Here is a 23,469-nt window from a genome sequence, read left to right on the forward strand (position 1 = left end):
GTGTGTGTGTACATCCTGGCCCATAGGTACAAGTTCCAACCCTTCCTACCCTATCCCCATCACAAACAGCTTCCTCTTGGCCACCCCTTCAACACAGAGCTGTGCGCACCAGTAAAACTGTCTCCTTTCAGGAGAACAGACCCAGAGAAGTTCAAGCAGTTACTAGGAAAATCTCTCTCAGAGCCATCTGGAAAATTCCATAGTCCTGTTTACCTGAAGCATGCTCTAGAAGCACTGGCTTGGGCTCCAGATGGGCACATCTGCTAGGCCCCCCACTCCTCAGAGGAGAGCCAAAAGCAACGTTTCTCAAACTTTAATAAGCAAGTGAATCACTGGGGATCTTGTTAAAATGTAGGTTTGTAGGTCTGAGGTAAGGCCTGAGAGTCTGCATTTCTAACATGCTTCCAGCTAGTAATCTGTTACTGGTGTGTGTCTAGTCCGCAGCAAAGATGTAAAGCACGAGTCCTAGATTAGGGGCCTTACTAAGCTGGCTCTAAGGGCAGAACTCAGCTGTAGAATGGAAGTGATATCTATGGGAGTGGAAGGTGGCCCTAGGACTGCCAGGAGATCACCATCTATGACGGAGCACATTGGTAATGGCTAATGGAGGGCCAGCAAACAGTGCTTGCAGTGCTGGCACTTGAAGAGCTATAGGCTAATGGGCAAGTTAGACATTAATAAGTAATTGCAAGACATTGTGTAATAGGCAATAATAGAGGTATATATGAAGCACATAGGTGACAGCAGACATGGGGATTAACTCTTTGTTGGAAAAATGTTTCACAAAGAACGTCATATCTGAGCAGAGTGCTGAGGGATAAACTGAGTTTCCTAGAGAACAAAGACAGAAAGGGGATTCAAAGCCGAGGGAATAACTTATCTGTGGCAGGGTATATTTTCCAAAAATGGCTGCAACAATATCTCTACTCCCACAAAACCTTCTAGAAACTTTCCACTTCCCTATTAAGAAGTGAATTCCAATTCCCTTTTCCTTGTTAGGATACTTCCATGAGTACAACGTGGAGAAGTGACACCATGTGACTTACATGGCTAGATGAGAAAAGGCTATCTTCTGTCTGGTTTTCTTGGGATGCTTGTTTTTGGAACCCAACCACTATGCTGGGTGGAAGCCAAGCAGCCCATGGAAAGTCCTGGTGGGGAGGAATTGAGGACCTCACCCACAATTCCTATTGAGATCCTAGCTGACAGCCAACACCAACTTGCCAGCCATGTGAATGAACCATCTTGAAAAAAGGTCTTCCAGCCTCTGCCACACTGTTCCAGGTGACACTATATGGAGCAGAGATAAGCCACTTCCACTAAGCCCTGACCAAATTGTGGATTCATGGGCAAAATCAATGATTGTTGTTTAAACCATCAACTTTTGGAGTGGTTTGTTATGCAGAAGAGATTCCCACAACAATATCCAAAGGCAAAAAGGTGTAAAGCAGCCTGGTGTTTAAAAATATGACACAAACAAGGGCATGTTTATGTATAACTCAGCAAGTAGAAAAAAAAACATAATAAGATGGGACCTGTTGAGAATGTTTAACATTATTAAATGTTAGATTGCTTGAGCCCAGGAGGTTGAGGCTGCAGTGAGCCATGTTCACCCCACTCCACTGCAGTCTGGGCAAAAGACTTAGATCTTGTCTCATGAAAAAAAAAAAGACTAATAATCTGCTGTTGTGTGTATGCTGTAGATAAAGCCCTGGTAGACAATTTCCAAAAGAAATCAATTTATTGTTTTTACTACCAAAGTGGAAACATGATATAATTTCAGAAACAAATAAAAAACCCACCTGAATGTGGAGTGGAGGGAAAAAGTTTAGTAAACAAACCATTAGTAGTGAAAATGTAATGAAGTTGTACTATATATTCAACCATGCTTGGATTAATTATTTTTCATGGCTCTGACAGTTTCTAGATACAATGTTAAGGCATTTATATAACAACGTTTTCTTGCTGTAAAAAACTAAATTCTTATTGAAAAGAAAATACTGGCCAAGCATGGTGGTTCATGCCTATAATCCCAATCCCTCCCATGTCTGTTTTGGGATGCTAAGGCCAGAGAAAAGCTTGAGCCCAGGAATTCAACCAGTCTGGGAGACATAGCAAGATCCTGTCTCTACAAAAAATTTCAAAATTAGCCAGGTGTGATAGCACACACCTGTGGTCCCAGCTACTTGGGAGGCTGAGGCAGGAGGATTGCTTGAGCCCAGGAGGTTGAGGCTGCAGTGAGCCATGTTCACCCCACTCCACTGCAGTCTGGGCAAAAGACTTAGATCTTGTCTCATTAAAAAAAAAAAAGACTAATAATCTGCTGTTGTGTGTATGCTGTAGATAAAGCCCTGGTAGACAATTTCCAAAAGAAATCAATTTATTGTTTTTACTACCAAAGTGGAAACATGATATAATTTCAGAAACAAATAAAAAACCCACCTGAATTCTGTGGGAGATAAGTTCCCACATTCTCGGGACATCAAAGAACATAATTCTGACCTATCATCAATACCTTTGTTTTTCTCCCTAAACACACATTTCTAAAAGAACCAACCAGGAGTTTGTGAAAGATAATAAAATTTATGACTATTCTTTAAAGTTGACAATGTTATTTCCTACAAGCCTTAGGAGCGGTGGGTGCATGCTAATTTGATAGATAAGGATTTAGAATGCAGTGAATTGATAAGTCAAGATTGTTTCCTGAACTTGTGGGTCTCTTGTATTTCTTTTTATTCTTTGACACTAACCTAATGTGTCATTGAAAAGCAGTATCCCCATGCAGCATGGGAATTTATATTACATTTAGCAGCTGGAATGGAAGATTCCTGGGATGGGGATAGCTAGTGACAAGTAGCTTCCTTCTGCTCTCAGCTGATCTGACTCCTCCTGGAATACTGTGTTCAGTTCCTGACACCATATTTTAGGAGAAACATAGACAAATTAGAGTACATTTGGAAGAGAGTGCCTTAAATGGCGAGGAAACACAAACCCATGTCACATGAGGGACAAATGAAGAAAAAGGAGATATTAATTCAGGGAGGAACCAACTAATGAAGCATATTCAACATTTTTAAATAATAAAAGCTTTCCTGAAGAAGGGCTGTTGGCATTGTTCTGTAACCTCAAAAGCATATGAAGGGAAGGATTGGGAGGCAATTTTGGGGTGAAGAAAGTCAAAGCTACCCAAAGATGGAACCGGCTATTAGGAGAGGTAGATAGTCCCTGTCACTGGAGGTATTGAAGTAATTTTTTAAAGAAGGAATTCTAAATTTGATGATGGTTGGATTTGACATCCTGCAAGGTTCTTTCCACTACTGTCAGAGCTTTGACGTCCTTCAGAGAACTCCGTATCATCACCCCTGGGAGTCACCAGGTATACTCTCATATGAGCTTATAAAACAGCCCCTTTCCTTTTTTCCACTTCTTGCTCCCAGAAGTGGCAGCATTTTCTGAAGCCTCCAAAGCCTATGAAATCCCCAGAAGTAATCTGTTCTCTACCACTGGCTAAAAGGGGCCTATCTCACCTCCGACTGATCGGCCCCAAATAGTTCTGCACCAATGCCTCCAAGCTGCACCACCAGCCAAGCCACTGATAGTGCTGGGGCTAATTCCCACTCTCTGTCAGTTCCCTCAACATGGCAATGCCTGGCTTCTTCCCTTTTCTGTGTTACACTGTGCAATTGTCAAACAGATTTTGTGGGTATATGGCTGTTAGTCCTTAGTCATAGACCTTCTTCCCCTTGGACCATAAAAGTCTACAGGGGTTGAATTGGAATAATCGGAAAGCAACAGATTTTATGACATGCCTAAAATTGCCTTTATCCAGTGATATACTCCTCATCCTTAAGCAATCTTCTATGCCTCCAACCTCTTTTTCCTTAGGATCCTTCTTCTCAGGACAATGCTTGGCTCCTCATTTAAATATGACACTCCACCCTAAGAGCTTGCTCTACCACCCTCAGTACATACCTGACATTCTGAATCCTAGATTGAGACAAATTAGACTCAAGCTGTAGCCTTTCCTTTTTCTTTTTCCCCTACCTGCCCTCCCTGCAACATGATTCTGTGACTGAGGGTTAAGAGCAGAGAAAGAGGAAAATAAAAATAACAGATTAAAAAATGGTTTATGGAGGCCAGGTGCAGTGGCTCATGCCTGTAATCCCAGAACTTTGGGAGGCCAAGGTGGGCAGAACACTTGAGGTCAGGAGTTTGAGACCAGCCTGGCCAAATACAGGGAAACCCCGTCTTTACCAAAAAATACAAAAATTACCTGGGAGTGGTGGTGCACACCTGTAGTCCCAGCAGGCTGAGGCAGGAGAATCACTTGAACTCAGGAGGTGGAGGTTGCAATGAGTCAACATCGCACCACTGCCCACCAACCTGGGTGACAGACTGAGACCCTGTCTCAAAAAAGAAGGTTCACAGAAGGGGAAGGGAAAAGACTTAGATGATGTGGATGGCTTAATTAAAAATTTTGAGTGGAGTTTAATAATAATTCAGTATGATGTTTATACTCTAAATAGCATAACTGAAAGAAATGCTCTTGGAACTTAGCAGTGACAATGTAATTGGTCATTTGTCATAAGTTTCTGCTGATGAAAATCTCATTCATAAATCAGGAACAACATATTCAATAGCTTGCTGACAGTATTTGGAAAACAATGTTTCATACTCATTCAATGCTAATTATAAACTTTGAGAGTCAAATTAAGAATATATTGTATATACACTGAATAAAGATATTTACACATACACAATGTGGGTCAAGTGATACTCTCCAACTTCTGAGGTAAAAGTAGCTTGTTACCAGTGTCCCTGGCAAAGTTATGCTGAGGATTGATGGAAGGGATGGTATATGTTTTTCCTCCACTCTGAACAAGAAGAGAGATCAAGGGGAATTAGCTCTTTCATCTGAACTTTCCGTAGAGGTGCACAACTCCTCAGGGATGTAGTTTTGGAACGGGCTGGGGAAAAGAGGTCAACAGTTTGACTTCTTATGTATTCTTCACAGCATATTGCAGTGGGCCTCTTTCTCTTGCCTGTACAACAGAGAGAAATGACAGGAATTAATAAGAAAGCTAATACTCTACTCACTCTAAGCCTCTGAAGAAGAATTCAGGTATTTATTTTGGCTCTCTGAGGCCAGTCTAATGAAAGTTGAGCCTGGTACAGGATTGAACATATCAACTATTAAGCAAATGGAAGAATTAGAGGCAGGATATTAGCTATAGTCAGAAGCTCAAAGCTCAGAAGCTAGGTTAAAGCAGAGATGGTGAGCAATGGCATGAGTGAAACTCATCCCGGTTAGCAAGTCCAAGATAGATAGAAGTAGAGTGTGAAACTATGTTTGTGAACGTGCAGTTCTGATGACAAAGGTGCAAGAGGAATGGAAATGCATGGCTTGGATCACACTTTAAGAAAAAGATTTGCCTATCCACTGTGAGGAGTCCAAGTTAGCTGCTGCCAACTGGCAGCTCTCAGTGCCCTCAGGACCCATTTTAGCTTTTGAACCAAGGACATGCTCTCCCTAGGCATCCCAGCAAATGACAGAACATGATGGGAACAGTAGAAACTGGCAATTTCTGCCCAGTGCTTACAGGCAATCTTTGCACTGGAACTTTGTTAGGCTGGACGAGACTTCCTCAGCACTGCACTTCAGCATGAGGCTCCTCCTACAAACTTCTTCCTCCTTTCTCTCTTTTCACAGGTATCAGACCAGTATCATAGCCTGAAGGATTTCCCTGCCTACTCCTGCTCCCTTTCCCCTTTATCATTCGTATATAAATACATACATTTCTTGCACATCTAACTGCATCTTGGTGCCTACCTCCTGGAGGACTCAGCCAATACAAGGGGGAATGCTGATGTTTGGGTTTGGATCATAATCCAGAAAGACACAATCCCAAATGCCATAATCCCAAATGTTGAAGCCGTCAAAGATCAACCTCCTTAGACACGAGATGGGAAAATGTAGTAAGAAGTGCTCGTGTTGGTGTATATCAAATAACAGAAGAATTTCAAAAAGAGCAGGGCCACATAGAAAATGATTGTGAATGTATTTTTGGAGGAGAGCTATGTCAAAAAAAAAAAAGCAGCTATTCATTGTGATGCAAGACTTCAAACTACAGTTAATGATTGTGAAAGTCAGCCAGGTCTTCTGGGACTATATCTGTGCAATTACCTATAATCTATCCCTGTAATATATTGTTTCATATGTTGAATTTTCTTTGACTTCCTGGGCTCAAGCAATCCTCCCACATCAGCCCCCTGAGTAGCTGGTATGGGTGAGCCACTGCTTCTTTCTTCTTTTTTTAAGTTTTTTCCCCCACTATTTTAAATTGTCAATTTTTTTTTTTAACAATTTGCTATGCTATGTATTTCGTCTTGGCATCATTTCCAATAGCGGAGGTATAAATTGTGTAGAGACTTTTAAAGAGTTCTAATTTGTTTTATGCATTTTTTGCAAATTTGACTCCATGAGAGTGAATTACCACAAAAATGATTTGTATGTAAGCATTGTTCATGTATGTAAAAACATTGAAACTTCCTTAATAAATGGAGAGATGCCTTTTTTCGTACATTTGATTTGCAAAAAGTAAAATTGCCCAAGATCTCAGCTCTTCGGGCAACTGCATATGTGGTGGTGACCCACTGAGGTTTTTGATTGATTTCTTCAAAAGATTTAGGTATTTCTCACGGTATTTCAGTATGACCACAATAATAAAGCTGGGTGCACTCACTTACCAACCATAATGATATGTTTACACATTCCCTTCTTTGACCTATTTATTTATGAATATGGCTTGTCTGCTTATAACTGTGATACTCATGTGACTGTCATTAGTATACCTGAGTGTTGCAAAAATATGTATTACTGCCTATTTTATTGTGTAAACTGGCCTATGAAGTACTTTGTTGTATTTTTATGTTTCTCAAATAAATCCCCTTTTAAAATGTAAATAAATGTTTTATTTTTTTCAGAATTATATTCTTGAGATTTTGATCTTTCTGGATTGTGATTTTCAGGATTTTGGACTTTAGAGATTTTGGTCTTTTAGGATGTTGGGGATTATGGCATTTGGAATTGTGTCTTTTGAGATTATAATCAACTCCCCCAGAATCTGAGGATACAGCCTGACTAGAACTAGGCTAGTAAGATAAATCATCAACTGGGGGCCTTGATACTTGGCTTCTCTGATGGTGCTGGTTTTTCATTTGACCCTGGTTTGCATATTAAACCCAGAGACTTTAAACAAATGGCTTACCTACAGAGTCCTCATAGTAAGTCCTGGTCAAAAGAAAAACAGAATAGAAAGCAAAAGAGAAAAGAGTCTTTATTCTTCTCCATATAAGTTATGCCTTCCTCTTAATATGTAGGTGTACTAAAAATCATTGAATTATATACTTTAAATTGGTGAACTGTATGGTGAATTATATCTCAATAAAGCTGTTATTTAAAAAGTGTGCACTTCCTAGTATAGAAGGTAGTACTAAGATGCATGTGAAAGAAAATAAAAGCAATAAGATAACGACAGCCAAAAAAAAAAAAAGTTTTTTTCAGACCGGGTGTGGTAGCTCACACCTGTAATCCCGGCACTTTGGGAGGCTGAGGTGGGAGGATTATTTGAGGTCAGGAGTTTGAACTAGTGAAACCTAATATGGTGAAACTCCGTCTCTGCTAAAAATGCAAAAGTTAGTTCGGCATGGTGGTGGGCACCTGTAGTCCCAGCTACTCAGGAAGCTGAGGCAGGAAAATCACTTGAACCCGGGAGGCGGAGGTTGCAGTGAGCTGGGATTGCACCACTGGACTTCAGCCTGGGCAACAGAGCAAGAAGAGTCCGTCTAAAAAATGAAAAAGAAAAATGTTTTCTCATTTGGTCATATTTAAAAAGATTCCACATTTTTTCTTTATAGAGGCTGCAGAGAAAGCCAGAGCGTTCATGAAATACTGGAAAATATTCATTAGTATACTTTCTGAATTCATAAAAAATAGTAAAGAGCTTGTGTATTCTTTGAAATGGTTGTTGATATGAATGATGTGAAACAGTTACACCCATCTCCACAATTCTATAGTCTGGGGAAATGGCAGCTGAAAAAGCAGGTATATTTATTAATTCAACCAACCCTCAGGGATGCTTTTTCTTTTTACTAATGTGTAGGTGTGGAGATAAATAAAGCATGGTGTATGCCCTTCAGAAGTTCACAGCAAAGTAAAGAGTGTAGGCTTTTAAACAGTGTAAGGTACAGGGAGACATGCGGTGTGGCTGACCTAGAAGACTATTTGCAAGAGAAAGTGGCAAACTCAAGTGAGAGAATTACACCTAGACTTGAGGGTGAGATGATCTCCCACTTATCAAAGCACCAGGAAGACTAGTAGCTCACACTTCTATTGTACTTACTTTGCTTCAAGTCTATTCAAGTCGCAGACATACATTAACTCATTTAATCTTCCCTCTGACCCTATATAAGAATTGGCCATTCAAATAAGCCCCATTTGTAGGGGAGAACTCTGAGGCAGTAAGAAGTTAAACCACTTGCTCATGGTCACATAAGCAGCAGCAGAACCAGGATCTAGAAACAAGATAGCTCAGTTCCAAAGCATCTCTGCAATGCCCAGGAAAGGCGCCAACCAGGGCAAGGCTTTTCCGTCTGCTTCTTTCTGAGGTTTCTCCATATTTTTATTTATTGTACTAATAGCATTATAATAACTACAACAAAGAAAACCTCAACTACAATCTCATTGCTCAACAAATCTCCGATTCTTTCCTTTCTGTTTGGTTAGTCCTCTCCACAGCCAGTTCTTCGTTTCTTACTCCTGTGGTATCTAAAGACAGCCCCTCAGAACCACTTTTCTTTTTTTTCCTGGCCTGTGCTGTCTCTTGAGATCCTTTACTTATGTCTCAGTACCTCCTTAAGCCTCTATGTTTGCAGTTACTGAGAAGTTAGGTGCAATAGTCCATTTCAGGAGTTAGTGGGACTCCTCTCCCTGGAAGACCTACCATGACAGCAACCTCCTTGATACATGGAGAACTTGAGGGGGAACTTCATCATTAGTGAGCAGAGAGCATGGTGTAGTAATCATCTATTGATGCATAACAAATTACCCTTAAAACTTAGTGGCTGAAAATAACAAACATTATCTCCAGATTCCAGAGTGGCTTAGCTGGGTGTTTCTGGCTCAAGGACTTTCAAGAGTTTGCAGTTAAGATGTTGATCAGGGCTTCATTATCTGAAGGCTTAGCTAAGGCTGAAGGATCTGCTTTAAAGCTTACACATGTGGATGTTAGCGGGTCTTATTTTTTAGTCACATGGGCCTCTCCACAGGGCTGCTCACAATATGGCAGCTAGCTTTCCCCAGAGTCAGTGACAGCAAAGAGAGAGAGAGAGCATCAGTGTGTGCGCAACCAAGATGGAAGCCCTAAACTAATCTTGGAAGTGACATACCCTCCTTTCTCACAGCATTACACCAACCCTAGCATGACGTAGGAGGGGATTACACAAGGGTGTGAATACCAAGAGGCAGGGATCAGTGGGACATCTTAGAGACTGATTACCATACTCAGGCAACGTCTAGGGGTGAGAGGAGCAGCCACACTTCTATGTTTGCATCTTAATTTACATGAATGGCACCCCCTGATACTTTGCAGTGTACAAAATACACGATCATACATAGTGGTCCAGGTAGCAGTTCCTGAACAAATGGGGAAGTCAGGGGAATTTGTCCTCAGTACACTTCTATTCCCTGCTAGAATTTCATTTATTTATTTATGAAACAAACATTTTTTTAAAGCACCTGGTCGTACCTTTGCGTTGGTACTGAACTAGGTAGGTAATGGGGTTGCAGTTCTATTGGAGTTTCAATTTTCCTACACCACTGTTGCCCTTAAGTATCCAAAACATTCGGGGTGACTACAGCCTCCTTCAAGCCAGACAGTATGCAACAGATCATTGTTTTCTATCCCATTCTTTGGAAAACCTGAGCTAATATGATGTTTCTTTCAAAGGGTATAATATAAATATGTAATAACCCCTGATAATTGGGTGCCTAACAAGAACAGAAGTTGCCTAAATAAGTAGCAGGGCTCTACCAGTATAATGCTTCTGCTCAAATTCAGCCCAGTTCCCCTGAGAGAGGTCTTTTCTATCACCCATCCAGTCAAACTGGAAAACTAACTGTGGCTCTACTTACTCACGAAGTTGGCAGTAACAACGTTTTAAGAAGGACCCTTCAAAAAACATTCCAATTTGCCAGTTGCAGGGGGAAAAAACGTAGGCTCTAAATTAATGATCAGAAATAAGAAATGTAAGAAAGGAGTGAGTTCATGACGACAGACTGATGGACCAGAGCAGAAAATATAAGGAAGATGAGCTATTTGTCTTGGAGACCAAGTTTGCACCGCAGAAGAGAGAAATAGAGAAAATCAAATAAATATTTATGTCTGTAACACCAGACTCATGGTAAAGTGTCCTTAAGTTCACAGACTCCAGAGCCAAACTGCTGATTTCGAGTCCCAGCTCTGCTCCTCACTAGCTATGTGACTGTAGGTGAGTGACTTAATCCCTCCGTACCTCAGTATTCTCATCTGTACAGTGGGGCTGATTGGATAAAACCAACCTGTGTGGTGGTTGTGACCTAGTATAACTAAAGTGCTTAGCATGCTGCCTAGCACAAATTAAGAACACGGTAAGTACTAATTATTGAAGAAATTAGAAACAATACCTATTGTGTCATCAACTGAAAGAGACCAATTTCTTTCACTCGGTCATTATCTATTGAATATATACAGCACTGAACCCCAGACGACGAAATCCTTTTTCTCAAGGTGCTTTTACGTGGGAGGGCTGGGAGAGGGAGGAAAAAGAAAGCAGAAGGGGGAAACTAATAAATAAGTAAAAAAATGTATTATGTCAGGTGGTGATCATGGAGAAAAAGCAGAGGATGTGGATAGGAAGTTCTGGGGGAGGAGTGGGAGGAAAGAATGTTCTAGAGATAGGAAATAGTAAGTACACAGGTCTTGAGGCTGAGGAATGCTTGGTGTGTCCATAACTGCAAGGCCGGTGTGGCTGGAAGGAGACGAGGATGGAGTGAAATCGTACAGCTTGAGGTCAGGGGAATCCTGGCTGGGAATGGTGGGCACATCATGCAGGCCATGTATCCATATTTTGCACTTTGGCTGTTGCTCTATGATGGGAAGCCACTGGAATTTTTGAGAAGAAGAGAGACATAATCTAATCTTTGTTTTAAAGGACAGTCGGCTGTGTGTAGGTGTTGGGGAGGGAGGAGGCGGAGAGTGGGAGGTAGAAAGATCAGGTAGGAGATAATTATTGAGAGATGATGCCTTAGACCAGGACATTAGCAGTGGGGAGGGGAGTGAGACGGAGTGGACATTTTCACCATATATTTGTGAAAACAGAGTCAACAGAATTTGCTGACGAATGTGATGCTGAGTGTACAACAGAGAAGGTTCAGACATAGGGAAGTTCTGAGGACAAGGATTTTTTTCTTTTATTCAATGTCATATATCTACCACCTAGACAGTGCCTGGTATCAATAAATATTCCTTGAATAAATGAAAAGGGTAACTGATTTGTATTAAACCCATTTTGAACTTAGTAAATAGCAGTTAAAACATCTACAGTCAAATGAAGTACTGTAGCAACCATAATTTCAGCAATTAAGCAGTGAAAGATCTTCCAATCCTTTCCTCCACAAAGATAGAAGTTAATTTTGCTGCATCCCTGGACACCCCGTTGCCAACGACCCAGCATTCCGTTGGTAAGTGAGGCTGGAGGTTGGAGTGGGAGAAATTTCGTGGAAGCTAAGTTCGCAAAGCAGGTACGTTTTTTTTTTTTTTTTAAACGGTTATTTGGGATGAGGAGTACAACGGAACCTAATGTTCCCTCATGCCACCTACAGCACTGCTACTGTTCCCATATCCTTCAACTGGGCATGAAGGCAGCTTCCCACTCACTCTGACAGTGGTGCACCCTGTACCCCCACCCCTCTCTTCAATACCCCAGGGCTAAACGGCCCGAAGCTCCTCTCTACCGGCTGGTGCGCATTCTGGGCCAGGGCGAGCCAAAAGGCAGAAGGGCCTTCGTGCTGCAGTGTCTGGTGAAGACTCAGGCTTAGCCTGGAAGAAGTTTCCAGGCCAACGTGAAGTTTTCCTGTCTTGGGTACATGCGAGCCCCACGCGTCTGCGAGTTTGGGTTAGTGTGTCAACAGGGTCAGTCCCCGTATCTACTTTGCGAAAGCTTCGAGGCGAGCGTGAAGTCAAGGGCTGCGGTGGATGGGGGTAAAAGGCCTCCTCGTCCCACTGCCTGCACCGTCTTGGGGTAACCCCTAACCCCCAGCCGGCGTTTCCCTTTAATGCGCGTGCCCGGCAAGGTCCTCGCGTCCCCTCCCCTCAAGCCACCCCGTCAGCCTCGGTTTCCCCCACTTCTCCCCGTCCTTGTCGTTCCTTCCCCGTGGGACGCCCCTCGCTCACCCCCGTCAGAGCCCAGTCTGCGCGCGGGACCCAGCTGTCACTTTACTTTTCCTCGCCGCCTCCCCACCCCCTCTCCCGACCGGCGGGGCAGCCCGCCCGGGCGCGCTCCCGCCCCCGCCCCCTCGCGGCCGCGCGCCGGAGGAGGAGGGGCGGGGGGAGGAGGGAGGCGCGCGGCGCCGCATGGCCGACGTGGGGCTCGCGCTCTCGCGGTCTCTCCCGGGCGGGCGCGCAGGCACGCGCACTCGCGGGTGCGCGCGCGGACGGCCGGGCGGCGGCGGCTCCCGGAGGTGGTGGCTTCACTTTCCAGGACTCAGGGGCAGCCACAGCGACAGCCGCGGGCAGCAGCCTCAGGAGCCGGAGCTGGAACGGCCGGGGGCGGCGGCAGCGGCGGCGCTGAGGGTGAGTCCGGGCGGGCGCGAGCGCGGCGGGGACAGGCGTGGTCGGGTGCGTGGTGCGTGGGTCCGGCTTTCGGTGACTAGACGGTCCGCAGGGGACATCCCGTCCCTGGGGCCTCCCCAGTCTCCCTCCCCCTCGCGCCTGGGCAGCTCTCTCCCAGGGCTTCGGCTCGAGCCTGCGACCTGCACGGACACCCCCCCCTCAGGTATTCGCTCGGGCCGCGCCGGTGCCTCCCCTCCTCGGGCGTCCTCCCTCTCGCTGACGTCCTCCTCACTCCCCCGACCTCCCCTCCGCGTCGCAGGTCTCTGCTTACACCGCTCGTGCCCTAGTTCCCTCCTTCCTCGCTCCCCGTGCCCGGTTCCCTACGCCCCCTCCCGCGAGCCTCCTGCCCCCGTTTCTCGCCCTTTCTACCCCTCCCCCTTCTTCCCATCCCCCCCTTCTGCCTCTTCTCTCCCTGTCCTCCTTCTACCCCCTTCCGTTCTCAGTTCCCCATCCTTCTCAACCCTCCCAGCGCTTTCCTTCTCCTAGCCGCATCCTGGAACTAAGTCTTTTCAAAAGTACAGGATAAATGTCACGGTGGAAAGTGCCCGGCTTGATCTTTTGCTATTTTCCCTAATTGCATAATTGCTGCACATGGTGTGTCTCCTGGCGAGTGCCGGGTTTGGCTCCTTCGCCGCCGCACCCCGGTGGCCCGCCCGGAGAAGACCTTGTGGGGTATATTTGTGTGTGTCCTGGTGAGGGGTGTGTGTTGTATTGGTCTTTTGTGATGCCTGGCGCTTGTCACAGTTTGGAACCGAAGCCCATTTTTCTCTGGTCTCTTCTCTGCAGCCCCCACTGGCCTGGTTTGAAACTGGATTCCCTCTGTCCTCTCCCCCTTCCCGCCCACCCCACTTCTCCCCCTCTTTTCTCCGATCTCTCTCATAATGTTTTGATCTTTTTGCCCTTTACCATTTCTAATGAAGATAAAGCGTGGCTTCTTGTGGCTTTTTTCCCCCACGACCAACCAGAAATGTCCAATCCATCTTCCCTTAAGGAAATTAAGGCTGCTTTAGAAAGACATCATCCTGTGCTCGGTGGCTGTTAGACCCATTTGCATGTTTTCAAGATTCATCGTTTTGTATTGTGTATTCTTGAGAGTCTACTAAAATATTTTTATTTAAAAGTACGAAAGGAAGTGCTAGGGTTTACCCTCAAAGTATCTCGCGGTTCTAAAGGATTTTACGCTCTTCTTAGTTTTTAATCCCTGATTTCTTTAAAAAGTATGTTTCTAGATATGTGATAATTCAGTCTGGACTTTGTGAATCTAAATATTTGCCTTTACTACGGCAATTTGGATGCTCCTTGGCTCTTTGGAATTCTGTATGTGGGCTGACGCTGAAATAGAGTGTTTTCATATAATGCCATACCCCATTCTCTTTCCCCTGCAGCACCTTTTACCCCCAAATCAGGTGTTCCACTGTTATTTTCTGCATAAATGTCTTTGCAGTTAAATTTAAAGCTGGATATTGCTGTGTGCATATACTATATATTTATTTTACATTTTAGAAAAGTTTAGAAACATGAGTAGGAAGACAGCAAGACATATATGACAGAATTAAACGCTTTCCTGTTATAAAAGCTTAAATGAACACTTGGTTTTGCAGTTTTATACTAGTAGATACTGTTATAAGGCTTACCTGGGTAGTAGGCTGGATTTATGGAATGACTATAGTTGCCTTTATGTAGTCAGTAATATTTCAAGCCAAATCATTTCATTTTTATGGAACATGTGAGTTTCATTCACTGTATGTTGCTAATTTCCAGGACTGTAATTACAACATAGGGTACATAGCTAATACAAGCTTAGACAGTTTGTGTTGAAGAAGTAACAATATGTAAGCCTCTTAATATAGTTTTAGGAAGGACTACTTATTTTATGGTTAAAAATTAAATTTTACTTTGAGTTATGAAGTAAGCGTATTTATCTCTCTCAATATCTTTGAAAGTATCATTGGAGAGTAGCTGTTTGTTTATAACCCTGGGATTTAAGTTTATCTTCCCTGTAGATGAGATAATCGGATCAGATTAGCTATTTAGGAATTAATTTTAAAATGCTAATTTAGAAGATAATGTTTAAAGGATTTTAATTCAGGAATTTTTATTCATTTGTACTTCAGAGAGACAAGACATCAAGTTTACACTTACGACTAATTAAATTGATTCATAGACTACTTTTTCTTCATAAAAATTCGTTGCACCTGAGTGGTACAATAATTTTTTTCTATACTTTTTCTGTAATCAAGCATTCAAAAAACAAACCCAGGAGAAATTCCTTTTATTATTGATATTTGAAAAAGAGATGTGAAAACTTTATTTCTAAAAGTTCCTATAGTGGTTATCAATGGCCTCAGATGGACTTATCATTTGTAGGTTAACATTTGGATGAAATATGTCTTAACTCAAAAGTGGGAATAATTCTTTTCCTTAATGTGAAACCAGAAATTACACCTCTGTTGGGGAATTTCTAATAGTATTTTTATTAGTTCTCTGGTGAGACTAATTTTTATTTTAATCTTCCTCTAATATTCGGCAGTAGAAATTTGAGTTTCAGATTATGGCTCAGATCACATCATTGAGTAATCTTTTTAAGTAATTATATAACTATGGCATTCGATAGTATGTAAATGCACATAAATAAGAATATTGAGAAGAATGTGTGGCTTTATAACTAATGTTATACACAACTGAAACTCTCAGCATAGTTTATTAAATCATAGTTTATTACGCTGAAGCTGCATCCTCAGTATAGAGAATATTATTTCATTGAGGTACCCATATATTTGTCATGGAATGGATTGCTCCTGTTTTAAAATGTATAAAATGATTTCTCACTCATTTCACATTTCTTAAGGTATTGCTGGCAGCATTTTGCTATATCTGAGCACCTTTCCCTGAGGATTGTTCTCTTTTTCACTCTCATGCATGCCGCCCTATCTGATATGCCATTATGTACATACTTACAAGATTTTAAACTTCTGATATATTTTAACTGAAAGAAGGTGAAAAAAAATATTAAATCCAAGAATGAGAATTTAGAGTGAAATAAAAATGAAAAAAAGCAAGAAATATGTTACGACTTTTAGAGCTAGATGTGAAACATACTGATATAAAATTTCAGTGTTCTATTAAGTGACTTTAGTGCTCATAAAAGATGTCACAGCTGTGGAGACTGGTGCTCTTCATTTACAGAATAGGTAGAAAAGTAGTCAGCTTTTCCGTTAGTATGTTTCAGAGCTGTTGGGGCAGATCTGTTTCTGTTTGGCATGGGGAGCTGTTGGGGTTGAAGGGGTGCTGGTGGTGGTGTGTGTGGTGTGTCAGTGAAAGGATTCACTATTTTCTGTTGACTCTTTGTGGCTCTGTGCTTCCTGATGCTTCCATTCTTTTGCAGTGCTTTTTGGTTTGTCTTACAAAAATTTCAGTCCATTAAAGATCGGTGTTACAACATTGCTTTGGCTTAGAGCAAGCTACAAGTTAAATCTTTAGTGATGATGAATTTTCATCAGTGTCAAATAGCTATCCATTTGGACTAAGTTATAGTAATTAAAAAATTTTGCTTTATTTGAGGTATCTTTACCTGTTCTTATTCTTGATCATATCAGAAACAGTTTTATTTCAAGTTGTAATTTGATTAAGAGTAATCAAAAGGATCCATTTCAAAAGGAATTTGTTCAGTGTACCTATAATTTTTAAAGATATATTTTTTGCTGTTAATGGTACTTATTAAGTATAGGTATTTTGTTTTTAAAAAGGTGTCTGAGAAGATAGCTATACAGTGCTGAAAGTGATTATTAGGTGACAAAACCATGGGGAGCACAAGGCCTTTTAGAGTCTGGGCATGAGTTTTGTTGGTTCAGTTCTGGATTTGTCAGAACACTTTAAGCTAGTCAGCTCATAAGGGATGTATTCATAGTCATCAAACTCAGAAATTGATTATGATAGAATGACAGTTGAGGAGAGATACTCCTTTTCACTTACTGGAATTGTTTGTGTCTGCTGTCTAGATTATAACAGCTACCTAAATATCAAGGTATTGAGGAAATTGAGTTGGTAATCAGAACTGCTTGGGGGGCCTGAACTCAGAGCAAAGGGAATTTGAAAGCCTTGAGGGATATTTTAGCCAGAATGTGGGGAAAAAAAAAAAAATCTTCAGTGTCTTCATCTCTTGTGAAATATGGTTGCTTTAGTATATAGCTGAATGCTGTCATATGGTTCAATTTTTATTTAGAATCATGCAGTCATGCAGGCCTCTGTGTTCTTCTGTTATCACAAAGGTTACTTAAAACCACTTACTAGTTTGGAGAATTTTAACCTTAGCCCAGCCCTGAGGATGTATTGATTGAATAGGGATTTGAAAGTGTCGTCCCATTTTTGTGTTCCCACAAGTATTTGTACTAACCTTCGTTTTTGTACTTAGCAAGTTGGCTAGTCGAGGTTTTTCACAGTTGTGGGACCAAAGGGCTTAGCACAGCGCCTGGTAGAGAGTAGACCCTTAATCATTTTTGTCTTATTTTCTGTAACAGCATTATTGATATATAATTCACATACTATAAAATTTACCCTTTAAAAATGTACAACTCTGTAGTTCTTAGAATATTTATTATTAGAATTGTGCAAGATTATAATTATCTAATTTAAGAACATTTTTATCACCGCACAGGGAAGCATCATACCCATTAGCCGTCACTCTTCACTACTCTCCCCTCACTCCCTGGCAACCACTTACCCATTTTATTTTTTTATTAATTTTTTTTTTGAGACAGGGTCTTGCTCTGTCACTCAGGCTGGAATGCAGTGGTATCAATCATATTTTTATTTTTTGTAGAGATCGAGTCCCACTACGTTGCCCAGGCTGGTGCTCCCTGAGCTTCCCAAAACATTGGGGATTACAGGCGTGAGGTTCACTACTGAATTTTATGTTTATGGATTTGCCTGTTCAGGACATTTCATATAAATAGTCAAACAGTTTGTGGTCCTTTGTGGCTGGCTTCTTTCACTTACCAGAATGTTTCAAGGTTCATCCATTTTGTAGCATGTAGACACAGTACTTCATTCTTTTTTATGGCTAACAGTACATTATGTGAATATACTACTATATTTTGTTCATCCATTCATTTGTTAGTGGATATTTGAGTTGTTTCCAGTTTTGATTATTATGAATAATGTTGCTATGAACATTTCATGTATAAATTTTGTATGTTTTCATTTTAGAATACATTTTGAATGGATGAAGGAAAAGTTTTAGCAACTCCCAAAGCTGCATTGTTTTGTAAATGACCAATTTAATCCATTTTATATTGAGATTTACTTGTTTTACTTTGAGGCTCATTCTCTGTGTTCTGGAGGTAGCTTACTGTAGTACAGCTAAATAAATGATTTTTGATTCTTTAATCCAGGATCTAAAATGTCCACTGAGGCACAAAGAGTTGATGACAGTCCAAGCACTAGTGGAGGAAGTTCCGATGGAGATCAACGTGAAAGTGTTCAGCAAGAACCAGAAAGAGAACAAGTTCAGCCCAAGAAAAAGGAGGGAAAAATATCCAGCAAAACCGCTGCTAAATTGTCAACTAGTGCTAAAAGGTACTTCAGTTATTATAACCTTTTTATTGTTGGTATCAATTTATCATCTTAAGTTCTATTTTTCTCTTGCATTTAATCATTTTTTCTGGGATGTCGGCCGTGAACTTCATGGATTTTTCTTTTCCCTTCAAGATGATCTCGTTTACATGGTTTTAACCATAGGGAACTTCAGTATTTAAAGTCAGTTAAATGGCAAGGCAAATTCATAACATACATTTCCATAGTGTGTTTGTGTGTTTATGTATTATCAGGGAAACATATACAGGGTGTGTATGTAAAATTGCAGTAGTTTCATTTATGGTTACTTGACCATAAATATTTTTTTTCTGTTCAGTAACACAGAATAGAGATTAGGAATCTTTGAAGTAGTTACTGAGTGAGTGACAGTTTATTTTCCACTACTCCCAGTTGGTAAAGTCAGAAATGCTGACATTAGCAACAGGTGCATCTTGGTTTCATTACATTAGTCAGTGGATCCATCTTGATACGGATTTTCTCTTTCTCTAGAGAATAGATGGATCTGGAAAGTAGGTATTTGAATGATTTTCTGTTGGTACTCAATCTCTTAAAATGATTGGCATGTCACTGGACTTAAAGGGAATCTGTTTGATATTGTTACATTATAGAATATCTCTTGGAAAATAATTTGAAAGATAAATTAAATGTAGTGTCTTTCCTGATCCTGTGATTTTATGTTCTTGCTTTGTTTTCATATATTTTACATTGACCAAGTCGGAAGTATACATAAAAGCGATCTGTAACTTGTAGGCATAGTGGAATGCCTGAATGTTGTATTACAGCTTTATATGTTATTTTATGGTGTGGGTTAAGGGGAACTCCTTTCTCAAAGATAAAAAACCATTATTTTGTTCTAGTAGACCTTGTTTTCCTTTGGCTTAGTCAGTCTACAGGGTTGGAAAGAACCTTCTCAGGACCCTTGGTGAGAGATGTTGGAGGGATGGTGAGTGGTTATTCCAAGGTACTAGAGTATTCAGTTTCCCTTTCGTGGGGGTGTATTGCTGATCTCTGTTGAAGGAGCTGTTTGAAAGTCAGAGAGCCCTGAACTTTAAACTTTGAGACCTGTATACTAGACCATGCTAGGGTGGGGAAGAGGGTTCAGTTTGTTTTGCCATCACAACACAATTACCGGGGACTCAGCTGGCTGACCCTTCTGTTTGCCAGACCACAACACAAATGACCTGCTTAGAGGTGACCTGGAAAATGGGGGGTGGGGTTAGGATGGATGAGAAAGGTGGGGAATAGAGAAAATATGACATTTAGGTGAAAGAAGGAAGTCGATGTAGGTGGGAAGGAGATGTTCAGGTACAGATTGTAGTTCCACGCAGATGAGGAAGATCTAATTCAGTCCTCAGTGTCTGATTGGGTTTTTACAGGGCCTCTTCAGTTTGTCAGAAAAGGGGAAGGATTGGTTGGCCAGGTCTGTGGGGAATAGGGTTCTGCTGGGCCTGTGCTTTATTCTATGATTGCTAGTTAGCAAAGTCACCTGTTGTGGTGAGGCTCTGCCTTTTCCTCTAACTGGGAGCACCACTATAAAATACCTTAAAATCATATTTCTTGGGTGATATGTCAAAGACCAAATTCTGCTTATGAAAGATGTACTGCTTTATGTGTGAACATGAGTTTTTCAAGTACGTGGGTCATCTTTATTTTACTACAGTATATAGAGAAAGTACGGATTATTCAAACCTAATGATAGATTTCACGAGGGAAAAATATAGAAGATATTTTTCTGCACTGTATGTAGGAGATAAAACCTAGTTTAGAGATAATGTATGTGCAGAGCGCAGCGCAGTGCCTGATTGGCAGTAAATAGAAAGTGGTTGTATTGCATTGGTGAAAATAGGAAGTCTCTTTTGAGTTGCTTCCTGGCTGAAAGAATCCCTCCATTGGCAAATTGTTGTGAATCTGTGATTTTCAAATTGTGGTTCATGATCTTCCTCTAGAAAGGTCTTCAGTTGGTTTTCGGGTGACAGTGTATGAAATGATGTAATTATGTACTATTTATTTTAAATATAAAAATGCGGCTTCACTACTAATTTTTTAATTTAAAAAACCTTATTTTCCCCTCTCTCTTCCTCCAATTCAGCTGATAGTGAAGTTGTTGGTTCTTTGCCATTTCTGCTGAACTTAGGAAAAAAATTGGGAATTATGAGCACAGAGGACCCCACATCTTTTAAGTTCACTGCCATGTCCACAGTGCCTAGCAGAGTACAGTCACAGTATTTATTTACTGGCTGCCTTGGAACCCTGAGCTTCTTATAGGGATCGGATTTTCCATGGATATTAGGATCTTAGTACTAGTGTGTTCAGAAGATTAAAAGTTAGAGGTAGTTTCAAAATAAATTTTATTTCACACTTTTTTGTTGACGATCATTTTTATTCAGATGAGAAGCCTTTCCCAAATAGTGTCATTTTATGAGATAAAGAGTAGCATTGAAGAGCTTGAACTCTAGAGACAGCATCTACGTTTGAATCTAGGTTCTAGCATTTAGTAGCTATAGCTCTGTGGTCTTTTTTTTTTTTTTTTTGAGGCAGAGTCTTGCTCTGTCACCCAGGCTGGAGTGCAGTGGTATGATCTCCAACTCCTGGGCTCATTCAGTCCTCCAGCCTCAGCCTCCCAAGTAGCTGGGATTACAGGGTTGTGTCACCACACCAGGTTAAATTTTTAATGTATTTTTTGTAGGGATGGGAGTCTCACTATGTTGCTCAGGCTGGTCTTGAACTCATGGTTGCAAGCGATCCTCCTGCCTTGGTCTCTCAAAGTGTTGGAATTACAGGCATGAACCACTGTGCCTAGCCTCTGTGATCTTGATGTATAATTTAACAGCTCAAAGCCTCGATTTCTTCTTTCGTAGAAGGAAGATGATAACGGTACGCTGTTCAGAAGGTTCTTGTGAGGACTAAATGTGATAAAGCATTTATTTGGCACATAGTAAGCTCTCAAAACTGATGCCGTCACTGATAGACTTTATGTCAGTTAAAATCTACGGTCATATTTTTCAAGTCTGTTTGGTACAAACTTTGGAAAAATGAGGTATATGTTAACCTTGGAGGCCTTAATGCTATTGTTAAACTAGAAATACTCAGATGCCGTAATTAAATACATTTTGTAGTGACTTAGGAAAAGTGCTTGCACGTAGGTGCTCAGTTATTATATGAAATGTACTATAATTGTAGAATTAATAATTGTAATGCAGTAATTATAGAATTAATAAGCTGGTATAGAACTATGATTTGAAAAATCTCATTTGTGATATTATAGAATAGTGGTATATAATACAGAAAACATTTAAGTGGGTATTTAAACAGCAGTAGAAATTAATTTCTGTCTCAGAGTTAGGAGGAAAGATTACAGTTACATCTTAGATGCATTTTTGCTTTTCTTTGGCAAGAGTTTCTTAAAAAATTGTCATGCTCTTATCACAGCCTGTTCTCTTGATATGTCTATATCACTCTTGTTATATTTGCAAGTCTGTTGTTGGACTATATCTGCAGTGACAGATTTAGATTATTTTGATTAAATTGACTAGTCAGTTCAATAAAACGTCTATTTTGAGATCTTCTTTGAATTTATTCTGCTGCTTTTACGGGTTGATACATCTGTAAATGTGAATTTTATATCATATTTATTCTAAATTAACTGTTTAGAGTGGACATGGTGATTTTATTTTTGGACATTCAATATGATACTGTTCGAGGTATGGTTTTTGGTTTCAGACTAAATTTTTGTTAGGTTGAAAGATTGATTCCACTGTATTCCAGTTTGAACTTTTATCATATGGGCTCGTCTAAGTTTGTTTTCCACATGAGAATGAAATAGTACTTTTGTAGATAATCTTTTGTAATTACTGTATTTTCTTCATTCTAAAAGTACATTTTAAAACTTTTTAATGTTTCTGAAATTGGGACACATCTTAAAATTTATGTGCACAATTATTGATGGTGTGTCTTAAAATCAATGATCTTTCAGAATCATAGATATATAGTATATACCACCATTTAGAATGAAACTCTAGACTTCTTATTTGCAATGGCAATGTGTTTTCTAAAGATTGCTTTGACATTTAAAAAATTTTAATAATTAGTTGCATGATGCTTTTTTGAGAATAAGTTCATTTTGGAAGGTTTTCGCTAGGTGATTCAATTGATTAGAGTAGGGGTTTTTAGGTTGACTGAGGAATGTAGTCTGTAAGGGAATATAGAAAGTTGTCTAGATGAGATGAAGGGTTTTAAAAAAATTCCTGCTAAGAAATTACTTTGCGAATCTGCGTATCCACACATTCATGTTCTACTTGGCTCTCAGTAAATTTTTGAATTTTCTTTAACTCAAGAAATGTATGTGTGTGTTTTAAACATGTTAGTACATATACACTGCTTCATTTTTCTGAACCCTTAGCCCAATATATTGATGTTAAAATGAGTGTTTCGTATCTTCTCTGTTCTGTATAATTTTGGTACCATATTCTTCATTTAAGTCTGAGTGAATCATGATTGTTATGATTCCCCTCCTCTGCTATTTTTTTTAAAGCAAATAACAGTCCCACACAGCATTCTTATTGTAGTCTTATCATTCATTCCTGGAACGGTTAAGGTATAAGGTGGAGTAATATACATTGAAATTTAATTGTGTATTGCTCCTTGACTTGTCTCAGGAACAATGGGCAGTTGCTGACTTCTGTATCATACTAACCTAAGAGGTGGCACTGCCTTATGAAAATTGGAAATTTAGGTGATTGTTCAGGTGATTTTTGTGTAAAATAATTTTGTCTTAAAAGTTCTGATGAGGGAAGTCTTCTTGTTTGACTTAGCAAGATAATAGTTCTCCATCTTTCACCTTACCAGCGTAAAATAATTAGCCTTAGTTTTCCTTGCCTTTTAAATGGGGACTGATAAAACAGATACTTAGAGAATTCTGTGAGATTTACCTAATCACTTTTAACGGTAA

The 23,469-nt window shown here is 40.5% G+C and overlaps 1 protein-coding gene and 1 long non-coding RNA gene across 11 annotated transcripts in view, besides 4 other annotated features; one reads left to right on the top strand and one right to left on the bottom strand.

Moving 5' to 3' along the window:
• Window positions 1-4,697: 4,697 nt before the first annotated feature.
• Window positions 4,698-12,621, bottom strand: UBE2E2-DT (UBE2E2 divergent transcript). 2 transcript variants are annotated; one of them, NR_136176.1, is made up of 2 exons: window positions 12,492-12,621; window positions 4,698-5,042 (listed from the first exon to the last, which is right to left on the bottom strand). It is a non-coding gene; the product is annotated as a UBE2E2 divergent transcript (long non-coding RNA). The 2 variants fall into 2 exon arrangements; NR_136177.1 differs by lacking the exon at window positions 12,492-12,621 and adding an exon at window positions 12,053-12,206.
• Window positions 11,628-12,603: an enhancer, noted in NCBI's record as "H3K27ac-H3K4me1 hESC enhancer chr3:23243491-23244466 (GRCh37/hg19 assembly coordinates)". NCBI's record gives its function as "activates a minimal SCP1, AML or CMV promoter by ChIP-STARR-seq in primed H9 embryonic stem cells {active_cell/tissue: H9 hESC(primed)}" and the evidence as "EXISTENCE:reporter gene assay evidence [ECO:0000049][PMID:30033119]".
• Window positions 11,628-13,115: a biological region, named in NCBI's record as "H3K27ac-H3K4me1 hESC enhancer GRCh37_chr3:23243491-23244466".
• Window positions 12,016-12,075: an enhancer, noted in NCBI's record as "active region_19591". NCBI's record gives its function as "activates an Ori minimal core promoter by ATAC-STARR-seq in GM12878 lymphoblastoid cells {active_cell/tissue: GM12878}" and the evidence as "EXISTENCE:reporter gene assay evidence [ECO:0000049][PMID:35858748]".
• Window positions 12,426-13,115: a silencer, noted in NCBI's record as "silent region_14138". NCBI's record gives its function as "represses an Ori minimal core promoter by ATAC-STARR-seq in GM12878 lymphoblastoid cells {active_cell/tissue: GM12878}" and the evidence as "EXISTENCE:reporter gene assay evidence [ECO:0000049][PMID:35858748]".
• Window positions 12,726-23,469, top strand: part of UBE2E2 (ubiquitin conjugating enzyme E2 E2) — a 388,828-nt gene continuing 378,084 nt past the window's right edge. For 4 of the 9 annotated variants that reach the window (NM_152653.4, XM_047448843.1, XM_047448844.1 and 1 more), the window contains exons 1-2: window positions 12,955-13,092; window positions 18,320-18,503. In NM_152653.4, coding sequence (NP_689866.1) covers window positions 18,328-18,503 — 176 coding nt within the window. In that variant the 5' untranslated portion in view covers window positions 12,955-13,092; window positions 18,320-18,327. Of the gene's footprint in view, window positions 12,891-12,954; window positions 13,093-18,319; window positions 18,504-23,469 lie in introns of those variants that run through there. The other 5 variants (XM_047448845.1, XM_017007126.2, NM_001370227.1 and 2 more) reach the window with 2 other exon arrangements.

Source organism: Homo sapiens, chromosome 3 (genome assembly GCF_000001405.40).
Source record: "Homo sapiens chromosome 3, GRCh38.p14 Primary Assembly".
In the NCBI taxonomy this organism is placed as follows: domain Eukaryota; kingdom Metazoa; phylum Chordata; class Mammalia; order Primates; family Hominidae; genus Homo; species Homo sapiens.